General features: G+C 46.5%; 2 annotated features.

Moving 5' to 3' along the window:
* Positions 7,722–8,222: an enhancer, noted in NCBI's record as "H3K27ac hESC enhancer chr4:38320051-38320551 (GRCh37/hg19 assembly coordinates)". NCBI's record gives its function as "activates a minimal SCP1, AML or CMV promoter by ChIP-STARR-seq in primed H9 embryonic stem cells {active_cell/tissue: H9 hESC(primed)}" and the evidence as "EXISTENCE:reporter gene assay evidence [ECO:0000049][PMID:30033119]".
* Positions 8,223–8,723: an enhancer, noted in NCBI's record as "H3K27ac hESC enhancer chr4:38319550-38320050 (GRCh37/hg19 assembly coordinates)". NCBI's record gives its function as "activates a minimal SCP1, AML or CMV promoter by ChIP-STARR-seq in primed H9 embryonic stem cells {active_cell/tissue: H9 hESC(primed)}" and the evidence as "EXISTENCE:reporter gene assay evidence [ECO:0000049][PMID:30033119]".

The following is an 8,723-nucleotide window of genomic DNA, read 5'->3' as shown; positions in this document are numbered from 1 at the left end:
TAATACTGATCCCTTAATGTTGTTGCTATACTTAAACAAGAAAATGTCAGTCAAGGGCTGAACAGAGTGCCTGACACCTTATAAGTACTTAAGAAATGAAACCTGAACTTCATCTTTTACTATTTCCAACCCTCACCCAGGCTTGACTCTGATCCCTGTGCTAATTACCGCCAGCATGGATGGTTTTCTTTCCCAGAGCTGTGCCTTTTGCTCAGTAGGTTTCTATCTAAAGAGCTCCATCAATCCTTTCGGTCTTTCCTTATCTCCTGCAAACTTTGAGGGCAGCTTTAGGCCCTCTTTGACTGCAAGCCCTGGGTGATCTCTCTCCCTCTCCTCTGAACAGCACCAGCATTTGATGTCCAACCACTCATTAACATTTACTGCCTTGTATTGGTATTTAATGTTGAGGTGCATGTGTTGACTTGCCAGCCGTACAGCATACTCTGCAACGGTGTGGATCATGGCTTTTCCACCTTTACATCTCCTCAGCCCTTAACTCAATGCTATGTTCAGAACTCAATGAATACTTGCTGAACAAGTAAACCAAATCCAATTATTCAGAACCCCCCTAGCTAATTTATTTTTCAGAATCCTTTTTGAACCTGTGTGTCTATTGCCTTTTTATGTTCCTCAGAGTTCAAAGCACCTTGATGATGTCGCCTTCCTGTAATATCATGAGGTGCTCAGTTAACTTTGCACAGCAACAAACCTAGTTCAGCCAGCACAGATTGCTTTGCTGGCCTTGGTCAGTCATTGGGCACACAGGGAAAAGGTGAGGGAGGACCCAACTTAGAAGAAATCCATTCCTCCAACCAAGAAAACAATTAACAAAATATTTTGAGTGGTAAGTCGATATCACTATTTGAAATTTGGGAGTACATTTTATTTGTCTTTTGAAAGAGGTGAGAGGTGAAGCCAGCTGGACTTTCTGGGTCAAGTGAGGACTTGGAGAACTTTTCTGTCTACCTAAAGGATTGTAAATGCACCAATAAGCACTCTGTAAAAATGCACCAATCAGCGCTCTGTGTCTAGCTAAAGAATTGTAAACGCACCAATCAGCACTCTGTAAAATGGACCAATCAGCACCCTGTAAAGTGGACCAATCAGCAGGATGTGGGTGGGGACAAATAATGGAATAAAAGCTGGCCCCCCCCAGCCAGCAGTGGCAACCTGCTTGGGTCCCCTTCTGAGAGGTGACAGTGTGCTGGCAGCCCTCGCTTACTCTCGGCTCCTCCTTGGCCTCGGTGCCCACTCTGGCCATGCTTGAGGAGCCCTTCAGCCCTGCGCTGCACTATTGGAGCTCCTCTCTGGGCTGGCCGAGGTCGGAGGCGGCTCCCTCTGTTTGCAGGGAGGTGTGGAGGGAGAGGCACGGGCGGGAACCGAGGCTGCGCGCGGCACTCATGGGCGAGTTCCAGGTGGGCATGGGCTCAGTGGCCCTGCACTCGGAGCGGCTGGCCGGTGCCACCGGCCCCAGGTGGTGAGGGGCTTAGCACCTGGGCCAGTAGCTGTGGAGGGTGCGCTGGGTTCCCCAGCAGTGCCGGCCCACTGGCGTTGTACTTGAATTCTTGCTGGGCCTCAGCTGCCTCCTTGTGGGGCAGGGCTCGGGACCTGCAGCCTGCCATACCCAAGCCTCCCCCCACCACTGTGGGCTCCTGCACGGCCCAAGCCTGCCCAACAAGCACCACCCCCTGCTCCGCAGCACCTGGTCGCATCAACCGCCCAAGGGCTGAGGAGTGCGGGCGCATGGCACAGGACTGGCAGGCTCCGCCTGCGGCCCTGGTGCAGGATCCACTAGGTGAAGCCAGCTGGGCTCCTGAGTCTAGTGGGGACTTGGAGAACCTTTATGTCTAGCAAAGGGCTTGTAGATACACCAATCAGCACTTTGTGTCTAGCTCAAGGTTTGTAAATGCAGCAATCAGCACTCTGTATCTAGCCAATCTGGTGGGGACTTGGAGAACCTTTATGTGTAGCTAAGGGATTGTAAATACACCAATCAGCACTCTGTGTCTAGCTCAAGATTTGTAAATGAACCAATCAGCACTCTGTGTCTAGCTCAAGGTTTGTGAATGCACCAATCAGCACTCTGTATCTGGCTAATCTGGTGAGGACTTGGAGAACCTTTATGTCTAGCTAAGGGATTGTAAATACACCAATCAGTACTCTGTGTCTAACTCAAGGTTTGTAAACGCACCAATCAGCTCTCTGTAAAACAGACCAATCAGTTCTCTGTAAAATGGACCAATCAGCAGGATGTGGGTGGGGCCAGATAAGGGAATAAAAGCAGGTTGCTCCAGCCAGCAGTGGCAACAGGCTCGGGTCCCCTTCCACACTGTGGAAGCTTTGTTCTTTCACTCTTTGTGATAAATCTTGCTGCTGCTCACTCTTTGCATCTGCACTGCCTTTATGAGCTGTAACACTCACTGTGAAGGTCTGCAGCTTCACTCCTGAAGCCAGAAAGACCACAAACCCACCAGAAGGAAGAAACTCCAAACATGTCGGAACATCAGAAGGAACAAACTTCGGACACGTCACCTTTAAGAACTGTAACACTCACCGTGAGATTCCATGGCTTCATTCTTGAAGTCAGTGAGACCAAGAACCCACCAATTCCGGACACACTTCCATGGTGTGGAAGTTTTGTTCTTTCACTGTTCATAATTAAATCTTGCTGCTGCTCAGTCTTTGGGTCCACGCTACCTGTATGAGCTGTAAAACTCACCGCGAGGCTTTGCAACTTCATTCCTGAAGTCAGCGAGACCATGAACCCACCAGGGAGGAACAAACAACTCCGGATGCACCACCTTTAAGAGCTGTAACACTCACCATGAGGTCCTTGGCTTCATTCCTGAAGTCAGCGAGACCAAGAACCCACCAGAAGGAACCAACTCTGGACACAGAGGAGCATTGTAATGGTGACCTAACACTATCATTTTGCGGATGAGAATGCGTTTAATTTGTCTTTTTAAACAGCTATGTTGGACTTATTTTATATGCATGTGCTTAATTTGCATGCTGCCCCCCAGGCGATGCAATACCTCGAAGAAATGAACAGAACAGCAGTAAGCACTGATCTGGTAAACTCTACAGGGTGCTTCCTTAGGAAAGGAAGTACTGCCTTCCTCCAAGCAGGCTACGAAGGTCTAGAACTGTGAAGTCACCCTAGCTATATAGTGGGTTGAGAAATACTACAAAAGGAAATTCTAGCACTTTCATTATTGCTTTTCAGTAGGTAAATTAAGATTCACTTGGGAATGCTTATAAAAAACATGCATCTCCTGGTTTCTAATCTCACCCCATCCTCTGTGATTTGGTGAGTCTGACCAAAGCCACCAGCTATTTTGATGCAGGAGGTGGTGCACTGACTATTCTTTGAGAAACACTGCTTTGGAAGAAGGAGATGTGCCATGCCATTCTCAGAGTAGCCATCATCCCTTTCCCTCTTACAATCTTTTACTTTAGATGTGGCAACAGTAAAGTCATAATGAATTCATGATCTGTGTTCCGGGGTAGACAGAGCAATAACTTCAGTGTCATTTTGGAGTAGAGATCCTCTGATCCTGGAGAAGTGGGTGGCTGGTTCTGCTAAGAGAGCTTGCATTAAAGGGTAGGTCAAAATTTTGCTTGTTTTTTTTTTTTTTTTTTTTTTTTTCGGGGAATGGGACGGGCCCTGGAAGGGTTCCCAGACTGTGGAAGAGAGGAGAAGCACATTGGCCACCAGCTGTTCTGGAAGAGTGACTCATCCGCCTATGTGGCATCAACAGAGGGTGGTGGAATCACTCCCTTGACCATGGGGGGCGATGGGGAGGTGGTGGGTGTGGTTAGAGAGTGCAGAGCACTGTGAGGAGTGGTGCATTCCAGAGGGGAACCAGACCCCCTGCAAGGGTGCCAATCTGTGCCCTCAGTCTCCTTGGCAGCTGATGAAGGAGGGAGAGGGAGGGGGCAAAGGAACAACTTCATCAAGACCACAGAGGCACTATTTAGTCATTGGTACTAAAAGTCTTGTGTCCGCTATCCTTGGACTCACCCTTGCCTCCTTTTCCTCACCTCTAAACCCAGTTGCTAAATCTGGTCAATTCTACCACTTCGATGTCTAGTAGCTATTCCCTTTGTCTCTCTTCCCTTTCCCCCATGACCTATCATGTACCTTCCCCTATCTCCATATTCCCACCACAATGACTTGAGCTCAAGGCCCTATCATTTTTCGTTTGGACCTAGTAGGCACTTCACTTTCATTGTTCTGCTGCTTATCTTCCTCTGTCCACTGCGTCCTTCATCCAGCCACCAATGCGTTCTCTCCAAAATTCAAATCTAAGCATATGATTATCTTAAAATCCACAGCTTGCCATGACTCTGTGGTTCTTAAACCCTAGTGTGCATCAGAATCACCTAGAGGGCTTCTTAAATCCCAGAATACCAGGCCTCATCTAGAATGCTCTTCCCTCTTCCACAGTTCCCTCTTTCTCCTGCTGAATTCCTCAGTCAAGCCTTCTCTATTTCATCCACCTCCACCTCCACCATCATCATCACCATTATCATCACCAACACATATTGAGTGATTACTGGCTCCATCCCACCGAATCCTCAAAAAAAAAAAAAAAAACCATGGCAATAGGGAACATGATTCTCCCTATAGCATATAGATAATAAAACTGGGGCTCAGCTAGGTCTAGAAACTTGCCCAGAGTCACATAGCTAGTAAATGGTGGAGCCAGGATTCAATCCTGGCAGGCTGACTCCAGTATTGAGGCTCCTAGCCCCTGAACCTACTGCCTCATCCAAGCAGAGCCTTCCTTCCTCAAAACACTCCTCCCTGTCATTTACATATGGAAACACACATACCCTAGAATGTGATGTCTCCCTTACCAGAGTGAGTTATTCAAGGGTGGGTCTTTCTTTCTTTCTTTCTTTTTGAGAATCTGGCTCTGTCGCCCAGGCTGGAGTGCAGTGGCATGATCTCAGCTCACTGCCACCTCCATCTCATGGGTTCAACCGATTCTCATGCCTCAGCCTCTGGAGTAACTGGGATTACAGGTGTGCGCCACCATACCCGGCTAATTTTTGTATTTTTGTAGAGACAGGGTTTCGGCTTGTTGGCCAGGCTGGTCTCAAACTCCTGATCTCAAGTGATGCTCCCCCACCTGCCCGCCACGGCCTCCCAAAGTGTTGGGATTACAGGCGTAAGCCACAATGCCCAGCCTCAAGGGCGGGTCTTTATCTTTATTTCCTATGCCTAGCACCTAGAGGGTACTAATCAATGTTAATTGTTAATTACTTGTGCTAGAGTGTTTGCAAATAAAAGGTAAATTTTCTGATGGGTTCTTGGGCCATACGAAGTGAGAACTGTACCAGAAGATTGTAAGTTCCTTATATAGATATCATTTTATATTGCAGATACATAGATACCTCTATGATGATATATACCAATGATACACAGGTATCATCTTATATTAGGGGAAATCCCGTGAGGGGTGGCGATCCAAAGATTATTGCCATCTCTCTTAGTGGGTCCACATCTTATCCATTTCCATCTCAGCTACTCTGAATACTTCTCTAACTTATTCAGAGTGAAGGGAGTTTTTACCCCAGAGCAGAATGAAAGCAGAGATGCCTAAATGGTAGTTTTACAGGAAGCTTTGGTTAACGTCTTTTCTACTGGTCTAGAAAAATACCCTAGGAAGTCACCATTTTAAACAAACAAACAAAAAAAATCACAGGAACAGGTGCATTAGAATACAAATCTCATGTGTATTTGGAACCAAGACCAACGTTTTCTGTACATAACCACCATCAAAAAAAGAATATCAGTTGTCTTCTATATCCAAATCCAAAGTGCAGGCAAACATCAGCTTTTGGTTCTTCTCTGTTTTCCTTTGAATGACACTATTGCCAGCCAGCCCTCGGGGTTCTCCACTGCTGCAGTTTTGAAACTTTTCTTTCCCAGGTTAAGAAACTAAAGTTGTAATGGAGAAAGAAATGGGAGAAAGCTACATCCCAGAGCAGAGGTGACCTGCCAGCACTCTAAAGTTATTCTAGACCTAGTACAGGCTCAAGCTTAGGACATTTGTTTCTTTTCCACCTGACTTCAAGGAGCTTGTCAAAGCGCAGCCTAAGTTAACAGGCTCTGTCAATGTGAGTACCAGAAGCCAGGCCGCCACCTGCGCTGTTCCAGAAGCCAGGGATACAATGAAAAAACACAAACGTTTCTCCCCATTTTGCTGTATACATTCCAATTCTTTCGCTAGGGACTGTACAAAATCCTGTCTTCTCTGGCAGGTTTCAGGTGGAGGTCCTGGGATGCTTGGACCCAGGACGGCCCATAGTGCGGGCCTCTGCGTCCTCTCCCCCTCACATAGGGGCAGAGGCCAGGAGGCCTGGATCCTTCCCCAGCAACCGTGTGGAGGTTTTTACTTCCTCTGATCCAGGGGACACATGTAATCTTTTTCTACAACTCCCTGAGGCTGGTTTTTCCCACCCTACAAATCAGTAAGCATAAATTTTTGCAGAGAAGCCTGGAGCCATGGGTCCTAAGCATTCAGGCAGCCAAAAAAATTAAATTTTCAACCGGAGCCGGGTAAGGACACATGGTCTCAAACGTTTCCTGCCCAATTGGAGCCGCTTTCCTCCTCTTGCACACTTGCTCCCCCTACTGCCTGACGCTGGAAGTGCAGGCCTGGCTCCGAGGCAAGCTTGAACGCCCCAGCTCGGTCCTGGGATGGCCAGGGTGAAAGCCAGCAGAGCAGAGAGGTTGCCAAAAAAAAAAAAAAAAAGCAATAGTACATCTTTCATAATTCTCCCACTGCTCTGGGGAAGGCACTAAGCTAAGTCTTTTCTTTACATTTGAAGAATAAACTCTGTAATAAAGATTGAATAAAAGTCTTCCCTGAATAAAGTTTTGCCAAATAAGTTAAAGTTAGGTCTCCCTTAAGGGTTCAATAAATGAAAAGAACTTCAGTTTTAGATTCAGACCTCGTGAAATCCCCAAGCCCCTTTGGATTTCAGACCCTTGGAACGCAGATCCAGGTTTTGCGCCTTTATGTGATGCGTGAACTTGGACATCTTATTTAATCTTTTTGAGCCTGAGTTTCTTTAACTGTAATTTGGGCATAATCATATTGTTGGTCTCATAGTGTTGCTGTAGAACGTAAATGAAAGAATGTGAATGCATGAGAAAAGACTTTTACAACATAAAAATAAATGTGAGCTGTTTCCCTTCCAATCCAACGCACACACACCCCTTTTCCATCTATCTAAGTGGAAATGGCCGTCGAGGCAACCTAAACCCCTAAAAAAGGAAGTAGGGCAAGGAAAGCCCGGTCACAAACAGGAAGTAACAGAAATGCCACTGAGAAACATTCAGGCAGAAGAAAGAAAGAAAAACAGTCCTAGGCTGTGTTTTTGAAGATCAAGTTAGATTTAGTTAATGATTTGGGGCGTTGCCAGCCCGACTTGACCCCCTAAATAGGGGGTTTTCAGAGATGGTTAGGAAATTCTTGACCTCGATTTGACCTCACGAATGGGAATTCTCACTCTGCAGTTGGTAGGTTCCTGCCTTTTTAAATGTAGGTCTCTCCTCCTTTTCCCCTGCGGCCATAGGAGGGGCCGAGCGCTCAGCCGGCTGGGAGGAGCTGGGGCTCCGCCTGCCCTCCCTCGCCGTGGGGAGCCGCCCTGCAGCGCCTCTCGGGTTACTGCCTCCCTTCCTGGCTTCACAAACTCGCCACATGGTAGGTTGGCTACTTAAGGGAATGTAAGAAAAAGCACTCAAGTGACGGCATACAAAGAAGTTTTACAGCTCTGGAGATTATGTCAGATTTTCCTTCCTAATTTCTCCTTAGAGGAGACAAAATCCTAGATTTTTTTTTTTTTTTTGAAGGAAAGGGGAAAAAAAACGCAAAACGAAAGGGAAACATATTAACATATCAGGACACATTGTGCTGTTTATTCTCTTGTTTTTCTTTTCTCATTTTTGAAAGCTCTTTCAAGAATCTTACCGCCTTTCTTGTCTTTTCCTTAATTTTGTGTGTTTTTAAGGTGGGGAAGGGAGAGGATTAGAAGCCTGTGAATTTTGTCAGGACAAGGCCTTCCTAAGCTTTTCATTTGTTTGCAGAACCAGAGTTCCTTCTCTGGTCCAGATGAAGAGACTAGTTCCTACCTCCTTCGCCTATACCTCTTATTAAAGGACCCCTCCAACCCTTGTCAAAATGCTTGGTGAAAGTGAGAGTTGGAAAATCAAGAGATCCACATCCATCCTTTGAGTGACCCTAGTCTGCAGACAGTGTCAGAGAGACAAATACAAATATTCTTAAGATGGTATCATGTCCCATCTTAGGCTTGGTTGTTTTTCAATGGCCTCCAACTGTACACTTGTTACAGGAAAGGGGTCCCCATCTAGACCCCAAGAGAACGTTCTTGGATCTCACACAAGAAAGAATTCAGAGTGAGACTGTAGACTAAAATGAAAGCAAGTTTATTAAGAAAGTAAAGGAATACACTTTGGGAGGCCGAGGTGGGCGGATCATCTGAGGTCAATAGTTCGAGACCAGCCTGGCCAACATGGTGAAACCCATCTCTACTAAAAAAAAAAAAAAAGAAAAAGAAAAATACAAAATATTCGGGTGTGGTGGTGCACGCCTGTAATCCCAGCTACTAGGTGGCTGAGGCAGGAGAATTGCTTGAGCCCAGGAGGTGGAGGCTGCAGTGAGCTGAGATCATGCCACTGCACTCCA

Source organism: Homo sapiens, chromosome 4 (assembly GCF_000001405.40).
Source record: "Homo sapiens chromosome 4, GRCh38.p14 Primary Assembly".
Taxonomy (NCBI): domain Eukaryota; kingdom Metazoa; phylum Chordata; class Mammalia; order Primates; family Hominidae; genus Homo; species Homo sapiens.
The sequence above is the reverse complement of the archived record's forward strand: the minus strand, read 5'-3'. Positions and strand labels throughout refer to the sequence as shown.